The sequence below is a fragment of the Homo sapiens genome, chromosome 6 (assembly GCF_000001405.40).
Source record: "Homo sapiens chromosome 6, GRCh38.p14 Primary Assembly".
NCBI lineage: Eukaryota > Metazoa > Chordata > Mammalia > Primates > Hominidae > Homo > Homo sapiens.
This window is the reverse complement of record NC_000006.12, coordinates 33,272,056-33,290,949: the sequence shown is the minus strand read 5'-3', so window position 1 is coordinate 33,290,949 and position 18,894 is coordinate 33,272,056. Positions and strand designations below refer to the sequence as shown.

Below are 18,894 nucleotides of genomic sequence, written 5' to 3'. Positions count from 1 at the left end.
TGGTCAGGAAACAGAGCCAGGTGTTTTTACATTTTATTAGCTACAGTATAGATCCTAGAGCTGCCTCATTCCCTCCCCTCCCCTCCCCTCCCCCCACCATGGGGTCAGGCCTTGCCAGGAGCCCCTGCCTTTGCTGCCTGGGCCCGCTGGAACTCCTGCTGCAGCTGAGCAAGGGTCTCCCTCTGTTGCTCTGACTGCCGCTCAAGATCCCGAAGCTGGGATTCGTATCGCTTACTAAGGAGAGACAAGGGAGACAAGCAGAAAGGGAGAAATTAGTAGGACTCACTATGGAGAGTGCTAAACGCAAGAAAGAGATAGGTGGAAAACTTGAGATCCAGGGGAGGGAGAAGAAGGGGGGTTAAAAGGGAAGGAAAGGGTTGGAGGAACTGGAGGACTAGGGGCCACTATGGAGAGCTGTTCTGCAATGGTTCAACACCTCTACTCCAATGGTTCACTTGCATCACAGGGTGCAGCACACGGTGGTGGAATAAAAACTCACATTTCAGCTGTGATATAGTCCAGCCTCTTCCCTACTGTGGCCCGAGCCTCCCCCAGCTCCTGTTTGACTAGCACCGGACCCAGAAGTTTAAAGACCACGTTGGACCCATCCAGCAGGGCCAGTTCCTGATGGAGGGATGGGACATATGTGATCAGAACCATGGCTAGTACAGGTCCCTCCTCGCCCCACAAATCCCAGTCCCTCACCTCTTTCACGATATTATTTTCTGTTAGTTGTGCTTCAAGTTTCTGCCTCCCCGACATGGATTTACTTAAGTCTGGGGATGAGAGGAAAGGCAATTTAGAAACATCAAATGTGCCACCTATCCCCACAATCCTAGTCAGGTGGATATGGATCTGAGGAAGCAGAAAAGGATGGGGGCAGCGGGTGAGTGAACAGGGAAGAGTACTGAGACTGAGGCGGGGAAGTCTCTGCACGCGAGGGCCCAGATGGGGCAACAAACCTTATCTCGGTAATGGCTTTGGGTTGTAAGTGCATTGGGCGAGACCATACCGACCCTGTTCCCTTACCCTTCTGTAGCTGTTGATATTTCTCCACTTCTCCCTGTAGCTTCTTCTGGATCAGCTCCGCCATGGCGGGGATGAAAGCCTACTGGGTGCGAGACAAGGGCGCTGGGTCTCACTCTCTGGAAGGTACCTGAGCTCCCTTTTCTGATCTGGCCTGCGGAAATGATAGCACTCTTGAGAGGTAGCCCTGAGGGGCACCGCAACCTCCCCCCCGTCCCGGATATCGACTCCACCCTGTCCCCAGGAGATGGTGGGCGAAACGCAAGACCCCAAGCCTCTCAACCGAAATCCTAACCTACTCACGTTCTTCCTTCAGTAGTAATAAACCCGGAAGTAAACAAGGAATGCTGGGAAAAGACTGTGCCGGAAGTTTCTTTCTGACCCTTGATGGGAAGTGTAGTTCTGACATGTTTAGGGAGTGGAGTTCTGCTAAAAAGACTAGACTAGGACATTTTTAGGCAAGATGGGGAAACTAATCCAGAAAAAGAAACCGCACCGCTACTTAGCCCCTGGCTCCGGACCTGCCTTTCTTTTTTAAATCACTCTTGCATAAGCTGCCGCTCGCGATAAGGTGCCAAAAACTGTTCCGCCCCTCTAAGGAGAGCGTGCCCTCACTCAAGATGGCACCTAGAGAGCTTCATACCTGGTACGCTGCTGATTGGATGAAGGACAGAGGGCTTCCGGGAGTTTTCAAGCCGACTGTGTGGCAGCTGAGAGGAGTTTTGCACGTGGATCGCCGTTCGGGTGGGCGAGATGGAGACAGCCCCCAAGCCGGGCAAGGATGTCCCGCCCAAGAAAGACAAACTTCAGACCAAGAGAAAGGTAGAGGCCTCCCTGGGTGGGAAACGAAGTTTTTAGCTGTGGGGTCGGGGGGCGGGGCGTGAGTGCGGAGTTCCTGATGTGCCTGTAGAAACCGCGGCGATACTGGGAGGAAGAGACCGTTCCGACCACAGCCGGAGCCTCTCCAGGGCCTCCTCGTAACAAGAAGAATCGGGAGCTCCGTCCTCAGAGACCAAAAAATGCTTACATCTTAAAGAAGTCTCGGATCTCTAAGAAGCCTCAGGTCCCGAAGAAACCCCGAGAATGGAAGAACCCGGAGTCCCAGCGCGGCTTGTCCGGGGTGAGCGTGGGACCTGATGGGTGGCGAGGCAGGCCGCCTCGTTCCTTGAGAGTGAGAGGGTTGGGGTCAATCCAAGGCTGTCTGCTAATTGCGTCCTCCTTTCCCCTAGACCCAAGATCCATTCCCAGGCCCCGCCCCCGTCCCTGTGGAAGTGGTCCAGAAGTTCTGTCGCATTGACAAATCCCGAAAGGTGAGGTCCAGCCGGAGAGTTGGGAAGTGCTGGAGGCAGGGAGTGTCTGGGTGAGTTGGATGGAGGCTGGGACAGGTAGCTCTCCTGTGACCCCACTTATCCTGTGGTTCTTCTGCCACTCCTCCCCACCAACAATGTTACAGCTACCACATTCTAAAGCCAAAACTCGAAGCCGACTTGAGGTGGCTGAAGCTGAGGAAGAGGAAACAAGTATCAAAGCTGCTCGTTCTGAGCTGCTGCTTGCTGAAGAACCTGGGTGAGTGAGCCCTAATCTGGACCCCCATTCCCTGCCTTTTGGGACTGTCTTTTCTCGTTTTTATGTTGGTATACTTGCTTCATATTGGGAAGCTTTACTGCCATCCTAACCCTTGCTTTCAGGTTTCTGGAAGGGGAGGATGGGGAAGACACAGCAAAGATATGCCAGGCTGACATTGTGGAGGCTGTGGACATTGCAAGTGCAGCCAAGGTGAGCCTGAGGAGGTAAAGGAGCCAAGGGATTGATTGGTGGTGCAGGACAATAGAGGAATGGGGGCTAGAAGAAGGCGTTACTGCAGGGCACTCTTTTTTTTCACTCTTCTCTTTCCCAGCACTTTGACTTGAATCTGCGGCAGTTTGGACCCTACAGACTAAACTACTCTCGAACTGGAAGGTAAGGTTGAATTCTAGTGACTCTTGAACTAAGATGTGTTTCCTTAACCACTTCAGCCATTCCCAGTGTATGTTTGGGTTGCTGATGAGGGGAGGGTCCTTCGATTTGCTTGGGTGTGAGGGTAAGCACCTACAGCAACATGTGTCTGCCCGCCTGGAGAGATGGGGCTGGCGTGGGGCAGACCTCAAGTTGTCTGAGTCGGTGGTCCCCTGCCTTAACACCCTGCCTGCCCCTCACCTCCAACAGACACCTGGCTTTTGGAGGGCGCCGAGGTCATGTGGCTGCCCTTGATTGGGTAACAAAGAAGCTTATGTGCGAGATCAACGTCATGGAGGCGGTGCGGGACATCCGGTCAGTGGCCTCACTGTCAGCGGTCAGTTGGGGTGAGATAGTCCATTCCTGATTGAATGATAGCCTGTGACCTCATTTCCCAATTGAACCACTCTTCCTCTCCCCCAGGTTTCTCCATTCTGAGGCACTGCTTGCTGTTGCTCAGAACCGCTGGCTCCACATCTATGACAATCAGGGCATTGAGCTCCACTGTATCCGCCGCTGTGACCGAGTAACACGGCTTGAGTTCCTGCCCTTCCACTTCCTCCTGGCTACAGCTGTGAGTGGCCATGGAGCTCAGGAACTGGTTGGAAGCCCTTGGGATGACCACCTCTCCTTTAGGACCCCAGCAGAGGGAATACAGAGGGCAATCAGGACTGGGTCATTCTCTCTGTCTTTCTCTCTCAGTCAGAAACAGGGTTTCTAACCTACCTGGATGTGTCAGTGGGGAAGATTGTGGCAGCTCTGAATGCTCGAGCTGGGCGGCTCGATGTTATGAGTCAGAACCCTTACAATGCCGTCATCCATCTCGGACACAGCAATGGTCAGTACCTGGCTTAGTTTTGACTCTGACCATCCTGACTTGCTTTTCTTCTATATTTGTACTTCATGAGTCCCTTAAAGTTACCCTTTTATTTCCCTTTTTTGTTATCTCTTGGTCTTGAGTTCCCATCTTTCCCATGTTTAGTAACCTCAGGCTTAGGTGTGTATTAGCAACTTTGGTTCTTCTTCTCTTCCAGGTACTGTGTCTTTATGGAGTCCAGCTATGAAGGAGCCACTGGCAAAGATTCTCTGTCATCGTGGTGGGGTCCGGGCTGTGGCAGTAGATTCTACAGGCACGTAAGTCACTGGTGGGGTGAGGTGTTAGGAGTCATAGGTGGGCAGAAAGGTGTGGAAGGCAGTGTGCTTTAGGAGCACAGAGTCTAAAGCCAGGATGCCCAGGTTTAAATCGCAGTGTTACCACGGATGGGCCTTGCAAGTATAGGCATATTTCATAACCTCTGTGTGCCACAGTTTCCTGACCCCGAAAATGGAAATATGAGTGTCCATTTCAAGGGTCCACAAACTTTTTCTGTAAAGAGTCAGATAGTAAATATTTTATGATTTGCTGATAAGAGGTAAAATCAAAGGGTACCATGTAGGCATTTAAATACCAAGAGAAAACAAATTATCACAACTTTTTTTTTTGAGATGGAGTCTCGCTCTGACACCCAGGCTGGAGTGCAATGGCGCAATCTCAGCTCACTGCAACCTCCACCTCTCAGGTTCAAGTGATTCTCCTGCCTTGGCCTCTCGAGTATCTGGGACTACAGGCGCCTGCTACAACACCTGGCTAATTTTTGTATTTTTAGTAGAGACAGGGTTTCAGCATGTTGTTCAGGCTGGTCTCGAATTCCTGACCTCAAGTGATCTGCCCGCCTCAGCCTCCCAAAGTGCTGGGATTATAGGCGTGAGCCACTGCGCCTGACCTTTTTTTTTTTAAATCTTTTGAGAGAGACGTAGTCTTGCTCTGTCTCCCAGGTTGGAGTGCAGTGGCGTGATCTCGGCTCACTGCAACCTCCGCCTCCCAGATTCAAGCGATTCTCCTGCCTCAGTCTCCCAAGTAGCTGGGATTACAGGCACCTGCCATCATGCCCAGCTAATTTTGTATTTTTTTGTAGAGACGGGGTTTTACTGTGTTGGCCAGGCTGGTCTTGAACTCCTGACCTCAGATGATCTGCCCGCCTCGGCCTCCCAAAGTGTTGGGATTACAGGCGTGAGCCACTGCGCCTGGCCCACACATTTTTAGGTTATAAAATTAAACGTAATATGGCCAGGTGCGGTGGCTCACGCCTGTAATCCCAGCACTTTGGAGGCCAAGGCGGGTGGATCGCCTGAGGTCAGGAGTTTGAGACCAGCCTGGCCAACATGGCGAAACTCTGTCTCTACTAAAAATTCACAAAATTAGCCGGGTGTCGTGGCGGGGGCCTGTAATTCCGGCAACTTGGGAGGCTGAGGCAGGAGAATTGCTTGAACCTGGGAGGCAGGGGTTGCAGTGAGCCAAGACTGTGCCATTGCACTCCAACCTGGGCAACAAGAGCAAAACTCCGTCTCAAAAACAAACAAACAAACAAAACATAATATGAGACTGGACACAGTGGCTCATGCCTGTAATCTTAACAGTTTGGTAGGCTGAGGTGGGCAGATCACTTGAGCCCAGAAGTTCGAAACAAGCCATGTCACCCATGACATGGCAAAACTCTGTCTCTACAGAAGATAGAAAAATTAGCCGGGTGTGGTGGTGCATGCCTGTAGTCCCAGCTACTCAGGAGGCTGAGGTGATCCTCCCACCTCAGCCCAGGAGGTTAAGGCTGCAGTGAGCTGTGATCATGCCACTGCACTCTAGCATGGGCAACAGAGTGAGACCCGGTCTCAGAAAAAAAAAATAATAATAATCAAATATATTTGTGTAATACAGATCTACTAATGGGAAGAACTGAATTTCTCTTTTTGAGGTTAACATTTTGCCTAATTGATGTACAAAGTTAGTGTTCCAGATGGTCAAATTTGACTGTAGATATTCATGTTCATGCTGATCTGTAGAGATTGCAAGTATTTCATCTTTGAAAACATCTTTTCACACAGGTAATGATAGGTGATATGTGAGGTGCTTGAAATGCTGTGAAGCACTTACGACTGTGTCACTGTGACTTGTAGTGTACAAAGCAGCAGTGCAAATCAGGATGCTGTAGTCGCTGTCGTGACCACTCGGCTGTGTGTTGTAGAGCAAAAGCAGCCACAGTATTAAGTAAATAGTGTGGCCCCGTTCCAATAAAACTTTATTTGTTGGATATTGGAATTTGAATTTCATACGGTTTTCACAGTCTCAAAATATTCTTTTGATTTTTTTTCAACCACTTAAAAATGTAAAAACCATTCTTGGCTTGTGGGCTATACAGAACTAGATGATGGGCCAGGTTTGGCCCATGGGCAGTAGTTTACCAAGCCTTGGTTTAAAGCCCTCATATAAGCTGTTGTAGACATTAAGATGAGTTAAGGCATATAGTTTAGCACAGCGCTTAGCAAAATAGGGAGCGCTGTGTTCATCATTGTCATTCAAGATGATCGTTCTCTCCAGGTCTGGCTGATGTGAGGGGTGGAGGTGGTGTCTGCTTTGGATTTCTGCTGTTCCTGAGGGAGTATCTGCATTTTCCACAGCTTTTCTGTCTGATTTGTATTTTCCTCTGATTCCTTTTGTCATCAGGTATTCACTGGGCACCTGCTGTGGGCAGGGCTCTGCGCTGAGGTTCTGGAGACAAAAGGATGAATCGTTGAGCCTGCCCTGGTGTGGTGCTCCCGTTATCCTTTAGGTATAAAAACTTGTGGCTATTTTTTTTTTTTTTTTGAGACAGAGTCTTGATCTGTCACCCAGGCTGGAGTGCAGTGGCACAATCTCAGCTCACCACAACCTCTGCCCCCCGGGGTTCAAGCGATTCTCCTGCCTCAGCCTCCTGAGTAGCTGGGATTACAGGCGCCCACGAACCACGCCCAGTTAATTTTTTAATGTTTAGTAGAGATGGGGTTTCACCATCTTGGCCAGGCTGATCTTGAACTCCTGACATCGTGATCCACCTGCTTCGGCCTCCCAAAGTGCAAGTGTTGGGATTACAGGCGTGAGCCACTGCACCCGGCCATGGCTATGGTTTTTGAGAATGATTGGCCAGGTGATGCATTTATTTATTTTATTACTATTTTTCGAGACGGAGTCTTGATCTATCACCCAGGCTGGAGTGCAGTGGCGCGATCTCGGTTCATTACAACCTCCGCCTCCTAGGCTCAAGTGATTGTTCTGCCTCAGCCTCCAAGTAGCTGGGAGTACAAGTGCATGCCACTGCATGCGCTAATTTTTGTATTTTTAGTAGAGATGGGGTTTTGCCATGTTGGCTTGGCTGGTCTCAAACTCCTGACCTCAGGTGATCCACCCACCTCGGCCTCCCAAAGTGCTGGGATTACAGGCATGAGCCACCACGCCTAGCTCAGGTGATGCCATTAGTTTCTACACAGTTATCCTCTGTCATCCCAGACTCAATGTGTCCATCACTGGATAGGTCACCGCCTCCTAAAGTTTCTCTTGACCTGCTCTCATCTCCCAGAATTTTCCTGTCACCCAGAATTTGACTCAGGTACACACCACCACACCTGGATAATTTTTCTATTTTTTGTAGAGATGGGGTTTCACCATGTAGCCCAGGCTGGTCTCTGTCTTGAACTCCTGGGCTCAAGCGGTCCTCCTACCTCAACCTCCCAAAGTACTGGGATTACAGAGTAATTACTGTGAGCCACCACATCCAGCTTGGCCACCAGCTTATTCAAAGTCTCCAGGATGCTGGGACCACCCCCCCCACCACCCGCTCCCTGTTTTTGCATAATTGTATCTTTTTTTTTTGAGACGGAGTCTCACTCTGTCACCCAGGCTGGAGTGCAATGGTGTGGTCTCGGCTCACTGCAACCTCCACCTCCTGGGTTCAAGCGATTCTCCTGCCTCAGCCTCCTGAGAAGCTGGGACTACAGGTGTGTGCCACCACACCCGGCTAATTTTTGTATTTGTAGTACAGATGGAATTTCACCATGTTGGCCAGGCTGGTCTTGAACTCCTGACCTTGTGATCCACCCGCCTGTCCTCCCAAAGTGCTGGGATTATAGGCGTGAGCCACCGTGTCTGGCCTTTGTAATTGTATCTTTGTGAATGAGTGATTTGGTTCTGCCCTTTTTACTCCATATTTATACCAGCCTGGCTCTAGGAGAGTCAGAAGGCCTGCCCAAGGGTTTCTGCCCTCTCTGGGCCACTGGGCCAAAGCTGTAGCTTGCCCTCCGTGGGCTACCTGGGTCAGCCACTCCTGTGCTTAGGGCTTAATCACTAGTTCGCTGAGGCCTGAAGTTTAATCAACACCTTGAGGCTAAACAGCTCTGGTCCTTGTGATCTTCAGCCCATCCCTGCTTTTCTCTGGTCCTCCTCAGGAGCTTGTCAGGCCACGGGGGCTCCAGTGATGAGGCTGACCATCTTTCTTAAGAGGTGTTCTGGTAGCTTGTATTATGATTGGATTGCGTTGACTTCTCAAAGCCGAACTGCTGCTTACTAGTAGTACAGTAGACTCCCATTTGGCACTGGGCTGGTCTTTACCCAGGGGTCCCATAGATGGGTGTGTGGAGGGGAGAAGAGCCAGCATGCATCCTTGAGTTGTTAGTTCACCAAAGGATGTGACCCTGTGTTCCACGAGCGCTCGGTAATTCCTGGTTTGCACTGATGGCCTTTCTCTTTGGTAAAGTCAGGGCGCTGATTATCTTGTCGGAAGTATCCAGCTGGTCCTCTCTTGGGCTCCATCACTGTGCAAGTCTCTGCTCATAAGAACTCTTCAGTTCCCTTCTCCTGGGTTCACAGCCAAGGCAAAAAAGAGACTCCTTGGCCTCTTGGCAAACATACATCCCCTACCTGGCTGGTCCCCCTTCAGCTTCCCTCTCTAAGGAACAACTTGAACATAGAAACTCCAACCTCACCTGTAATCCCAGCACTCTGGGAGGCCAAGGTGGGCAGGTCATTTGAGGCCAGGAGTTCAAGACCAGCGTGGTCAACATGGCGAAACCCTGGCTCTACTAAAAATTAGCGGTGGTGGCGCATGCCTGTAATCCCAGCTACTTGGGAGGCTGAGGCACGAGAATCACTTGAACCAGGGAGGCAGAGGCTGCAGTGAGCCAGGGTCATGCCACTGCACTCCAGCTTGGGCAACAGAGAGACCCTGTCTCAAAAAAAGAAAAGGAACTCCAACTTCTGAAAGTAAACAACTTATGCAGTACATGATTCCTGGAGAGGATTTGGTCACCAACCTTCCCTCCTTCCTTCCAGGGAAAGCACACAGAGGGGCAGGGCAAGGGCCTCCAGTGCATTACTTCACCACTTCCCTGAGTAGGTCTTCTCAAGTCCTTGGAGCCTTCACTTTGTGATTTGTCACTGCCAGAGAGCAATGTTGGGATCATGAGCTGTGGGTCCTCAGTCTGACTTTAAAGAAACCTCACAAATTGTCTGCTCCTGATTTTCCTGACCATGTTTCCCACCAATCCTAACAAACCTCTGCTTCCCTCTCAGTCTCAACACTCTGGTGTTAATGCATTTGAACCTGCTGTGTATCTACTTCCTGTAATTTTTTGAGAATTATCTAGAATGGCTCAAATCCCACCTTTCCCATGAAGCCTTTCTGACCACTGCACATGCTCCTTCCCCTTGCTGGGCTGTGTGCTGCATGTGTGTACAGGGGGACATCACATTTGGGTGCAGCCTGTCGTGTGGGCGTTCCTTTTGACGCCCGTGTCTTGAGAGGGCTGTGTGGTGTTAGCAGGTTAGAGGCAGATGCTAAAGAGACAGGCCTGACCATTCACTGACCTAGCTTTCCTTTCCCTGAGCTTCAGTTTCCTCACCTCTTAAAGGGAAATAAAAATAGTATGAGTTGTGTGCAGCTTAACTGAGAGGATGCCTGTGGAGTGTTCAGGGTGATGGCAGTGGTTATTACTATTAATCTTTTTCTCCCCAGCCAGACTTGATGCCTGGACTTGGCCACAGCTTGCTTGGTAAACCCATTTACTGACATATTAATTGATCCCTCTTCTCTCACCAGGTACATGGCCACCTCTGGCCTAGACCACCAGCTGAAGATCTTTGACTTGCGAGGGACGTACCAGCCTCTGAGCACTCGGACCCTGCCCCATGGAGCAGGGCACCTGGCCTTCTCCCAGAGGGGACTGCTGGTGGCGGGAATGGGTGACGTTGTCAACATCTGGGCAGGGCAGGGCAAGGCCAGCCCACCCTCCCTTGAACAGCCCTACCTCACCCACCGGCTCTCAGGCCCTGTGCATGGCCTTCAGTTCTGCCCCTTTGAAGATGTGCTGGGGGTGGGGCACACTGGGGGCATCACCAGCATGCTGGTCCCTGGTGAGTGGGCCAGGGGATGGGGCTTGAAGTGAATGAACTCTGGGTGGAAGTTTGGGCCAGAGACATCCAGGAACTGGGGGCTTAGTTGGGCTGGAGCTGTTGGACTGAGGTTCTTCCTTATGGCTCCATGCTTCTCCCTCCCTCCCTTCAGGGGCCGGTGAGCCCAACTTCGATGGCCTGGAGAGTAATCCATACAGAAGCCGGAAGCAGCGCCAGGAGTGGGAGGTGAAGGCCCTGCTAGAGAAGGTGAGGCTCCCCTGCTGGAGAGGGTGAGATCCCCCCCATTGCTGGAGAGGGTCAGGTTCCCCCGTCCTGGAGAGGGTGAGGTTCCTCCTTCCTGGAGAAGGTCAGGTTCCCCCCTGCTGGAGAAGGTCAGGTTCCCCACTGCTGGAGAAGGTCAGGTTCCCCCCTGCTGGAGAAGGTAAGGTTTCCTCTTCCTGGAGAGGGTGAGATTCCCCTCTCCTGGACGGGGTCAGGTTTCCCTCTGCTGGAGAGGGTGAGATTCCCCCTGCTGGAGAGGGTCAGGTTTCCCTCTGCTGGAGAGGGTGAAATTCCCTCTCCTGGAGAGGGTCAGGTTCCCCCCTGCTGGAGAGGGTGAGATTGCCCCTGTTGGAGGTGAGGTTCCCCTGCTGCAGAGAGTGAGGCCCCTGCTGCTGGGGAAGGTGTGGTTTGGGGTTGGAGGTAGAGAAAGCTCTCCTGATGTCTCATGCTGGGGGTCTTGGGTAGAGGGGTTCAGCAGCCTCCCTGGCTTCTCTTTTTGGTGCTACCCTCCTGTGGCTCCTTGCTGAGTCCTGTCCCTCTGTGACACCCCCAGGTACCTGCAGAGCTTATTTGTCTGGACCCACGAGCCCTGGCCGAGGTGGATGTCATCTCCCTGGAGCAGGGAAAGAAGGAGCAGATAGAGAGGCTGGTATGGAGCAGGCCCCTGAATGCCCAGGCCCGTCTTCTCCCCCACATCCTCTCCCCACCATGGCTTGTCCCCAGAAGTGCGGCCAGCAGGTGGGTGCTGCCAGTTCCCTGACTCCGAGGCTGTAACAGATATCACTCCTGTCCCCTCCCTCAGGGCTATGACCCGCAGGCTAAGGCTCCCTTCCAGCCAAAGCCAAAGCAGAAGGGCCGCAGCTCCACGGCAAGCCTGGTGAAGAGGAAGAGGAAGGTCATGGATGAGGAACACAGGGTAAATGAGCATTGGCATGGGCCGGGCCTTCCACAGGCTGCACCCTCCTGCTTGTGCCTCTGCCCTTGTCAGCCTGCCACTTCTCACTCTGTGCCTGTGTCCTCCCCGTCTCCGGTCCCCAGGACAAGGTCCGGCAGAGCCTTCAGCAGCAGCATCATAAGGAGGCGAAGGCCAAGCCCACGGGGGCCCGGCCATCTGCCCTGGACAGATTTGTGCGCTGAGCCAGACTCCAGGGTTGCCTGGGAACAGTCTCTCCCCAAGATCACCTGTAGGGAAATGAGTGTTCCCTGGAACAAGGAGGTGGGGGCAGTGTGGCCCCTTCCCCAACTGGGGGTGGACAGCTGTCTCCTGGGGTGGGTTGGTATTAAAGAGGAAAGCGATTTTTTGGATAATGTGTCTGGATCATCTTGTGGACCTGTTCCCCTCCCCCTTGCCAAGCATGAGGCCATTCTAGGATCGGAGGGGTCAGTGTCCTGCCTCTACCCCCACCCCATACCTTGTGGCTGCTGTGGCCTTAGCTTTGCCTTTTAGGGGCCTTCCTCCTCAGAGAGGCTGTCCTCTCTCCCATGTCCCTGGAGATGTCCTTCCCATGCAGCAGGGTCTGGCAGCCTCTGGGCTCTCCAGGTTTGTGGTGTTCTGGGGGTCCTGGTGAAGACCACACTGCACTCGAAGAAGTGGAGACAAGTTTATTGAGGAGCTTGACACCCCTCTTCTGCCCTAGCTTGAGAGAACAACTGCAGCATTTTTTTCTTTTTCTCTTCCCGATGACCATCTTTTGGGCTGGCGGGCCAGGCCCCTGGGTGTCTCCCATATCGCTGTCTTTAGTGAGACTGAGGATCTGGTATAAGGAAACAGATCAGCTGCAGCCAGTGAGGGCCCCTGCGTTGGGCCTGGGAGAGAGAAGGTCCTGTTCCTGCCTTTCCTGTGGCCCCAGGCACTCTCAGCTCTGAAGCCAGGCTATTGCTCGACACCGCAGGATGCCCAGGACTCCCTGGAACCAGGAGCAAAAGGGCGCAGTCCTTTCCCCGTCAGAGCCACCCACCAGCTTCCAGGCTTCCTGCATCTTCCAGGGGTCCAGCCTGTGGGACGTCAGCAGGAATTTCCCATAGCAGCACCGGTCTAGCGGGTAGTGGGTGGCACCAGCCAGCTTGACACACTGTGTTGGGGCGAGGCCTCCTCGTCGGGCACTTACCCCCACAAAGACATCCTCTAATGGGAGAAGGGGTGCCCGGCTGGCCACCTTGAGAATGAGCTGCACAGCAGACGCTGACAGCACATACCCCGTGCCTGAGGCATAGGGTGGAAAGGGGCCCCAGGTGTGAGGCCACTGCTCCTCTGATACGCGGTGCCTGCCCCCCGGTGTCCGAGAGGGGTTCACGCGCCAGTGCACCCGGCCCAAGTACAGAAGAGGCACTTCCTCGCTGTGCAAAACCTGGCCTCCTTCCTGCTCAGCCTCTCTCTGGGGTTCCGTGCTTCTCTCCCATTGCCCCCAACGGCCCCCTCGCAAGACCAGCTCTGATACCAGTTCAGGGACGTTGACATACACATCATCGTCCGTCTTGAGGACGTATCGGGCCATGGGGCAGTGTTTCTCAGCCCAGTTCAGCCCGCTGAGGGTCTTTAGGGTGAGGTTGCGGTAGGAGTCCTGGAAGGCGGCCTGCAAGATATCCCCCTGGGCTGCTGACTCCGAGGCCAGGTCACTCCCCTGGGAACCCCACACGGGGTGCTGTGCGTTCGGCTCTCCCAGCAAGAATAGCGTCTGTACCCTGAGCCCCCGGGCCTCGCGCAGCCCGCCCCACGAAGCCCGAATGGCGTTTCTCTGGTTCAGGTTCTCCGGAGCCGTGCACACCAGGATGAGCAGGAAGGGAGGGGCCCCGGGACCACTGCAAGCTTCCTGGTTGGGGATCAAGAGGCGGGGCAGGGCCAGGGGCGGCCCCGGTGAGGCGGGGGCTGGGAGCAGGGAGGCTAGTGAGAGGCTCAGCAGCTCCTCCCCCAACCCCGAAGGCCCGAAGAGGGTCCAGACGATCACCAGCAGCAAAGCGGCGAGAAGGAGGCGCCGGAAGAGCCTGAGCTGCATGGTGCGGCGTACTCCGAGGGGATCCGTAAGAGCGAAGGGCGGAGACTAGCTCCCCGGGCCTGGGTCACGGCCGGGGACTTAACCGACCACGCCCGGGATGCGGAGGTCTGAGCGCGCGACCGGGACCAGCGCACCCTGGGGGGCGGGGAGAGGCGGTGCAGCTGCGGACCGCGGTCGAGGCATGCTGCGGGGGTGGCTACCTTGTCGCCGCGGCCTCGCCGCCAGCAAGCTCCGCTCCATGGCTGGCCGACTGCGGCACTCACGGCCCCTCCCCCGCCTCGCCCCGGCGGCCGGTCTGCCGCCCGCTTCCGCGTTGCGCGCTCCCATCCCCGCCGGAAGCGGCGTCGGAGCAGCGCGGCAGGGCGCGGAAACCCGGGCGGGTGGAGTGGCACCAAACGGAGTGAGACCGGTCTGTCCAGCCGCTCCCCATCCCAACCCACCGACGTACTCCACCAGGGAGACCACACCCTTCATAACCAACGTCCGCGTTTTTGCCTTTGTTGCTTCGGTCACAGCCCGAAGGATTTTCCCTTATGACTAGATGACCCCTTAAAAGAAAACAAAAACAAAAACAAAAAAACCCAGAGTGACCAAGACCTGCAAACTCACCTTAACTGCAACTGGCTAGGCTCAGCTAACCCACTCCACAATGATGCTGCACACCAACCCCAGGGTGTTGGTCTCTAAACTGGTCTGGGTCAGCCCCTCAAGGCTGAACTGTTTTACCCTCACATTTCTCTTTACAGAGAGGGACATCACTAGCTACATATAGGGAGACTGGGGGGTCTGCAGCATCACCACTGCTAAAACTAATAGCACTGTGTGGGCAACTGAGTAGGGCAGCTCTAAATGGAAAAAGGACCCAGCACTTTAACATTCCCTATTAGAATGGACAGAAAGGACAGGAAGCCATAGGTATATAAACTATTTATTAACAGACAAGGCCTACAGACTTATTTCTTCTTGGACACACCCACGGTGCGGCCACGGCGGCCAGTGGTCTTGGTGTGCTGGCCTCGGACACGAAGGCTGCAGGTAAAAAGAGAAGAGTCACAGGTCATGCACAGCAGAAACAAAAGGTTGGGGAAAAAGAAGAGCGAGTAGGAGGAATGCTGAGTCGAGGTAGGCAGGGAGATGAGACCCCCCACTCACCCCCAGAAGTGACGCAGCCCTCTATGGGCCCGAATCTTCTTCAGTCGCTCCAGGTCTTCACGGAGCTTGTTGTCCAGACCATTGGCTAGGACCTGGATTCAGAGGAGGGGGCAAGGGATGTTTTATCCCCTGACCTCCTATGCCCAATTCTGTTAGGACCCTCCACCCTTCCTCTAATCCTGCCCTCATTTCAGTACACACCTGGCTGTATTTTCCATCCTTTACATCCTTCTGTCTGTTCAAGAACCAGTCTGGGATCTTGTACTGGCGTGGATTCTGCATAATGGTGATCACACGTTCCACCTGGCAGGCAGACCAAGGTCAGATCTAGATGGACCCCTTTCTGAGGCTGACCCCACCCCCAGCCCCCTTCCTTGTCCTCACCTCATCCTCAGTGAGTTCTCCCGCCCTCTTGGTGAGGTCAATGTCTGCTTTCCTCAACACCACATGAGCATATCTTCGGCCCACACCCTGAATGAAGTGAGGGGTTTCGGAATTAGTGTTGAATCTGATTTTTAAATTCCTTTATAGCCTCATTCAAAAAGCTCACAAAGGTAGGATCTGCAATAATCTATTTTGCAATCCCCTAGGTCACCCTTTCCTCACCCACCTTTCCAGATATAAACCGTTCGACAGAAGGTTAACTTTGGGCCGGTCGCAGTGGCTCACGCCTGTAATCCCAGCACTTTGGGAGGCCCAAGTGGGCAGATGACATTGAGGGCAGGAGTTCAAAACCAGCCTGGCCAACATGGTGAAACCCTGTCTCTACTAAAAATACAAGAAAAGTTGCTGAGCATGGTGGCAGGTGCCTGTAATCCCAGCTACTTGGGAGGCTGCAGCAGAATAGCTTGAACCTAGGAGGTGGAGGTTGCAGCAAGCCAAGATCACGCAACCACACTCTAACCTGGGCGACAGTGAGACCCCGTCTCAAAAAAAGAAAAAAGTAACTTTGTTCAGGGGTATGACTGAATCATGAACACAGAATTTAGTATTACAGACAACCCTTTGAAAGCAGGCAGTATCTTTTTTTTCCCCCATTGCTCAGCATATGTAGTTGTCACTAAGTGCCTTCTGATTCTTGCATTTAGGAGAACAAGGGGCCTGCCACTCCAAGCTGATGCAGTAAACCAGGGTCTTATGAGTTACAGGCTTTGATTAAGGTATTGGGCTGTCAGTTCCTCAGAATCTCTAAGGGTCACAATTATTTAGGCAAATCACTGTATCCCCATAATCAAAGTATTCCAAGATCACAAACTCAATTTTGTCAGTGCCCAGAACTGACTGCCCAAGTTATTATAAAAAGAAACTAATGCTTACATTGGTAGCATCACATCAACACCAGCACTAGCACCCATGCCATCTGAACTCATGAACCAAAGTGATTTGGAGAGTGAAGGAGGAACTGAATACTGAGCCCTGCCCCTCATTTTGTCCAACTAGAACATCAGAATGTGGCCCTATTTGGAAATAAGGTCGTTACGGAAATAATTAGGTAAAATGACGTTATATTTGATTAGGGTGGGCTCTAGATCCAATGACAAATCATGAGAGAGACACGAAGAGGACCATGAGATGACAGCAACAGATTGGAGTAATGCAGCTACAAGCCAAGGAACACTAAGGATTACTGACAACCACCAGAAGACAGGAAGAGGCAAGGTAGGATTCTTAAGTGCCTCCAGCGCCAAGAGTAATTTTCTGCTTAGTTTATATGAACTTGTTACAGTAGGCTCCAGGAAACTAAAACAAATGGCAGTTCCTATCTGCAAGAAAGAGATCAAGGGTTGGCTTCACCGTGGCTCATGCCTATATGCCTGTAATCCCAGCACTTTAGGAGGCTGAGGCTGGAGGATCACTGAGCCCAGGAGTTCAAGACCAGCCTGGACAACACAGCAAGATCCAGATTAGCCAGATGTGGTGGTGCACACCTGTAGCCCCAACTACTTGGAAAGTTGAGGTAGGAGGATTGACTTGAGCCCTGGAGGTCGAGGCTGCAGTGAAGAGTGATTCCGCCACTCCAGCCTGGGCGACAGTCTCAAAAAATAAATGTGGCTGGGTGCAGTGGCTCACGCCTATAATCCCAGCACTTTGGGAGGCTGAGGTGGGTGGATCACCTGAGGTCAGAAGTTTAAGACCAGTTTGACCAACATGGTGAAACCCCATCTCTTCTAAAAATACAAAAATTAGCTGGGCGTGTGCCTGTAATCTCAGCTACTTGGGAGGCTGAGGTTGCAGTGAGATAAGATTGCACCATTGCACTCCGGCCTGGGTGACGGGGTGAGACTCTGTCTCGGGATAAATAAATAAACATGACCAAGGGTCAAATTATTAGGTTGATTCAGAAGAGAGCAGGGTCTTTCAAATTTATTAATTAAATGACGAGGTTTCACCATGTTGACCAGGCTGGTCTCGAACTCCTGACCTCAGGGGATCCGCCCACTTCAGCCTCCGAGTGAGCCACTGCACTAAGCCTCAAATTTAATTATATGTTTACAAGTGAAAAGATTTACTTCAAAATGGGTGTGGGAAGAGATATAGATGAAATAAGATTTCTAATTTTTAGTTAGATACATCCATGAAGGTTATTCTCTATTACACTTATGAATGCTGCACCTCTACTTAAGCCTCACAGCCGGTCTCTGAAATAAGTACAGTATTTCACACTGCCTTATTAGTTTCACAGAGCACCCAACAGAAGGAATTTCCCTCTACAAATTCCTCAACAGAGCCAACAGTATCCCTACTACTATCCATTCCCTAACGTCGCCTAAGTACCTACCATGCAACAGAAGCCAAGAAGACAGGCCTAGCCCTGCACGCATGGACACATACTGGTAGGCTATTTCCACAACTAACTACACATTCTGACTTAAGGGAAAAAAAAAGAACGTTATGTATCTAGAAAGCCAAGAATTCATTAGGTTTGTGGAGAGAAATACTCAAGTGAAATAATATTCTTGCATTCATTGATTCGATTCTTAAAAGCCAAAGAAAGATGGATGTACTCCTTCACACTTCGACAGGAAAGGAGTGTCAATTATGGCTCATCTGAGTAAATGTCCCACTCAGACTTCTTCCACCCTCCATCTACAGGCTTCTTCACACTTTTTATCTGTTGGTATTTCTACTTATCCCTCAAGATGCCCAATAATCCTCCAATTCTCAGGGAATATAAATTTCGCAGGAAGGGTTGCTGTTATGATGGTGGGATGGGTAAAGAAACCGAATCTAGAAGAAATCTCACAAGCTCGTGGTTCAGGAAAATCTTAGCGAATTCGGGTGAGCAACCATACCTCCTCCCCACTTCCCCAGGTGAAATGTTTTGGCTTGACCTTAGACCACTATCTTGGCTTTAATCACTTATTTTCTGTGGTAAATGCTAAAGGGGTCAGTCTCTCCCTAAACCACTTTCTTTTCTTAATCCAGCAGTCAAGGTGATCTGGATGAGACTCAAGTCTCCCCAGCCTTGCTTCATTTTTGCTTATGTCTTCACAACCCAATTCTCATTTACATTCCCTATTCCTTACCCTACTTCACTTACCTTAATGGCAGTGATGGCAAAGGCTATTTTCCGCCGCCCATCGATGTTGGTGTTGAGTACTCGCAAAATATGCTGGAACTTTTCAGGGATCACTAGAGACTAGTTGAAAAAGTACGGGGGAAGAAATCAGACACAGTAAACTATCAAACAGTAAGGCCGATAAGGCAAACGAACTTCATACAAAAAGGTTAAGCCTGTCACACAAGTGGCAAGACACCCGCCCCCCATTCCTTAGGTTTTCACACCACAGAGCAAACTCCTCAGTCCTGCAGAGTAGGCACATGAAGCGTTCAAGCTTGGGAAAATGCAACCTCTGGAGAGAGGAAGCAGGTCTCCTGCCCATTCCCAAAAGTGCGTGGCAAAAGCCAGAGTTCCCCATATACGCCCAAGCCTTAGACAGCTTTCGTGCGCCCGAGCAGTGACCCTTCCTCGGGCCCGCTCTCCGGAATTGGAAATCTTTGGTGTCCCTTTCCAGGGACGCGATCCAAGGCTCCATACAGAAAGTCGCAGGCCCTCAGGGCAGGACGTTTCCAGAACCCTGACAGCCGGCTTTCCTTGCCCGAGCTGCGATGCCGCTGGATCACGGCACGGATTCCAGTCTTACCATGGCTGCAGCACAAGCGGCGGCGTGTAGGCCTCCTGTGGAAGAGAGAGCGGAAGTGACGCGATAT

General features: G+C 52.1%; 4 protein-coding genes and 2 non-coding genes across 13 annotated transcripts, besides 5 other annotated features; 2 read left to right on the top strand and 4 right to left on the bottom strand.

The window, feature by feature from the left end:
• Nucleotides 1–15: 15 nt before the first annotated feature.
• PFDN6 (prefoldin subunit 6) lies at nucleotides 16–1,753 on the bottom strand. 5 transcript variants are annotated; one of them, XM_047418077.1, is made up of 5 exons: nucleotides 1,670–1,753; nucleotides 1,030–1,180; nucleotides 706–776; nucleotides 500–624; nucleotides 16–234 (listed from the first exon to the last, which is right to left on the bottom strand). In XM_047418077.1, the coding sequence occupies exons 2-5, from the start codon at nucleotides 1,091–1,093 to the stop codon at nucleotides 105–107; spliced, it is 390 nt and encodes a 129-aa protein (XP_047274033.1). In that variant the 5' UTR covers nucleotides 1,094–1,180; nucleotides 1,670–1,753; the 3' UTR covers nucleotides 16–104. The 5 variants fall into 5 exon arrangements, with proteins under 5 accessions (XP_047274033.1, NP_001252525.1, NP_055075.1 ...); NM_001265596.1 differs by lacking the exon at nucleotides 1,670–1,753 and adding an exon at nucleotides 1,330–1,353; NM_014260.4 differs by lacking the exon at nucleotides 1,670–1,753 and adding an exon at nucleotides 1,322–1,349 and having other exon boundaries at nucleotides 17–234.
• MIR6834 (microRNA 6834) lies at nucleotides 625–705 on the bottom strand. Its single transcript, NR_106892.1, has one exon. It is a non-coding gene; the product is annotated as a microRNA 6834 (primary transcript).
• Nucleotides 1,583–2,116: an enhancer, noted in NCBI's record as "H3K27ac-H3K4me1 hESC enhancer chr6:33256611-33257144 (GRCh37/hg19 assembly coordinates)". NCBI's record gives its function as "activates a minimal SCP1, AML or CMV promoter by ChIP-STARR-seq in naive H9 embryonic stem cells {active_cell/tissue: H9 hESC(naive)}" and the evidence as "EXISTENCE:reporter gene assay evidence [ECO:0000049][PMID:30033119]".
• Nucleotides 1,711–11,842, top strand: WDR46 (WD repeat domain 46). Of its 4 annotated transcripts, none has more exons than NM_001164267.2 (15): nucleotides 1,711–1,848; nucleotides 2,099–2,146; nucleotides 2,256–2,336; nucleotides 2,480–2,592; nucleotides 2,715–2,802; nucleotides 2,924–2,985; nucleotides 3,232–3,336; nucleotides 3,445–3,595; nucleotides 3,724–3,859; nucleotides 4,056–4,155; nucleotides 9,963–10,276; nucleotides 10,428–10,522; nucleotides 11,091–11,186; nucleotides 11,340–11,453; nucleotides 11,576–11,842. In NM_001164267.2, exons 1-15 carry the CDS (start codon nucleotides 1,780–1,782, stop codon nucleotides 11,672–11,674), a joined length of 1,671 nt encoding a protein of 556 aa, NP_001157739.1. In that variant the 5' UTR covers nucleotides 1,711–1,779; the 3' UTR covers nucleotides 11,675–11,842. The 4 variants fall into 4 exon arrangements, with proteins under 4 accessions (NP_001157739.1, NP_005443.3, XP_047275479.1 ...); NM_005452.6 differs by having other exon boundaries at nucleotides 1,937–2,146; XM_047419523.1 differs by lacking the exon at nucleotides 9,963–10,276 and having other exon boundaries at nucleotides 1,937–2,146; nucleotides 4,056–4,151.
• Nucleotides 2,651–3,184: an enhancer, noted in NCBI's record as "H3K4me1 hESC enhancer chr6:33255543-33256076 (GRCh37/hg19 assembly coordinates)". NCBI's record gives its function as "activates a minimal SCP1, AML or CMV promoter by ChIP-STARR-seq in naive H9 embryonic stem cells {active_cell/tissue: H9 hESC(naive)}" and the evidence as "EXISTENCE:reporter gene assay evidence [ECO:0000049][PMID:30033119]".
• Nucleotides 3,185–3,718: an enhancer, noted in NCBI's record as "H3K4me1 hESC enhancer chr6:33255009-33255542 (GRCh37/hg19 assembly coordinates)". NCBI's record gives its function as "activates a minimal SCP1, AML or CMV promoter by ChIP-STARR-seq in naive H9 embryonic stem cells {active_cell/tissue: H9 hESC(naive)}" and the evidence as "EXISTENCE:reporter gene assay evidence [ECO:0000049][PMID:30033119]".
• On the top strand, nucleotides 3,661–3,723 carry MIR6873 (microRNA 6873). The gene has a single exon (NR_106933.1). It is a non-coding gene; the product is annotated as a microRNA 6873 (primary transcript).
• Nucleotides 11,843–12,124: 282 nt separating the features above from the next.
• B3GALT4 (beta-1,3-galactosyltransferase 4) lies at nucleotides 12,125–13,827 on the bottom strand. Its single transcript, NM_003782.4, has one exon. It carries the CDS (start codon nucleotides 13,528–13,530, stop codon nucleotides 12,394–12,396), a length of 1,137 nt encoding a protein of 378 aa, NP_003773.1. The 5' UTR covers nucleotides 13,531–13,827; the 3' UTR covers nucleotides 12,125–12,393.
• Nucleotides 12,231–12,962: an enhancer, noted in NCBI's record as "H3K4me1 hESC enhancer chr6:33245765-33246496 (GRCh37/hg19 assembly coordinates)". NCBI's record gives its function as "activates a minimal SCP1, AML or CMV promoter by ChIP-STARR-seq in primed H9 embryonic stem cells {active_cell/tissue: H9 hESC(primed)}" and the evidence as "EXISTENCE:reporter gene assay evidence [ECO:0000049][PMID:30033119]".
• Nucleotides 13,697–14,429: an enhancer, noted in NCBI's record as "H3K27ac-H3K4me1 hESC enhancer chr6:33244298-33245030 (GRCh37/hg19 assembly coordinates)". NCBI's record gives its function as "activates a minimal SCP1, AML or CMV promoter by ChIP-STARR-seq in naive H9 embryonic stem cells {active_cell/tissue: H9 hESC(naive)}" and the evidence as "EXISTENCE:reporter gene assay evidence [ECO:0000049][PMID:30033119]".
• On the bottom strand, nucleotides 14,439–18,875 carry RPS18 (ribosomal protein S18). The gene is made up of 6 exons (NM_022551.3): nucleotides 18,828–18,875; nucleotides 18,224–18,322; nucleotides 15,067–15,153; nucleotides 14,884–14,985; nucleotides 14,683–14,774; nucleotides 14,439–14,559 (listed from the first exon to the last, which is right to left on the bottom strand). Exons 1-6 carry the CDS (start codon nucleotides 18,828–18,830, stop codon nucleotides 14,484–14,486), a joined length of 459 nt encoding a protein of 152 aa, NP_072045.1. The 5' UTR covers nucleotides 18,831–18,875; the 3' UTR covers nucleotides 14,439–14,483.
• Nucleotides 18,876–18,894: the final 19 nt, after the last annotated feature.

Excerpts from the sequence above, each read along its gene's own strand:
- WDR46 (NM_005452.6), top strand. The coding sequence starts at position 1,780 with ATGGAGACAGCCCCCAAGCCGGGCAAGGATGTCCCGCCCAAGAAAGAC. Across the intron at positions 2,147-2,255 it reads CCCAGCGCGGCTTGTCCGGG|ACCCAAGATCCATTCCCAGG; the intron begins GTGAGCGTGGGA and ends CCTTTCCCCTAG. Across the intron at positions 4,156-9,962 it reads GCAGTAGATTCTACAGGCAC|GTACATGGCCACCTCTGGCC; the intron begins GTAAGTCACTGG and ends TTCTCTCACCAG.
- PFDN6 (XM_047418077.1), bottom strand. The coding sequence starts at position 1,093 with ATGGCGGAGCTGATCCAGAAGAAGCTACAGGGAGAAGTGGAGAAATAT. Across the intron at positions 777-1,029 it reads ATATCAACAGCTACAGAAGG|ACTTAAGTAAATCCATGTCG; the intron begins GTAAGGGAACAG and ends TCTCATCCCCAG. Across the intron at positions 235-499 it reads GACTATATCACAGCTGAAAT|TAAGCGATACGAATCCCAGC; the intron begins GTGAGTTTTTAT and ends GTCTCTCCTTAG.
- B3GALT4 (NM_003782.4), bottom strand. The coding sequence starts at position 13,530 with ATGCAGCTCAGGCTCTTCCGGCGCCTCCTTCTCGCCGCTTTGCTGCTG.
- RPS18 (NM_022551.3), bottom strand. Across the intron at positions 15,154-18,223 it reads TTGCCATCACTGCCATTAAG|GGTGTGGGCCGAAGATATGC; the intron begins GTAAGTGAAGTA and ends CACTTCATTCAG. Across the intron at positions 14,560-14,682 it reads GGGCTGCGTCACTTCTGGGG|CCTTCGTGTCCGAGGCCAGC; the intron begins GTGAGTGGGGGG and ends TTTTACCTGCAG.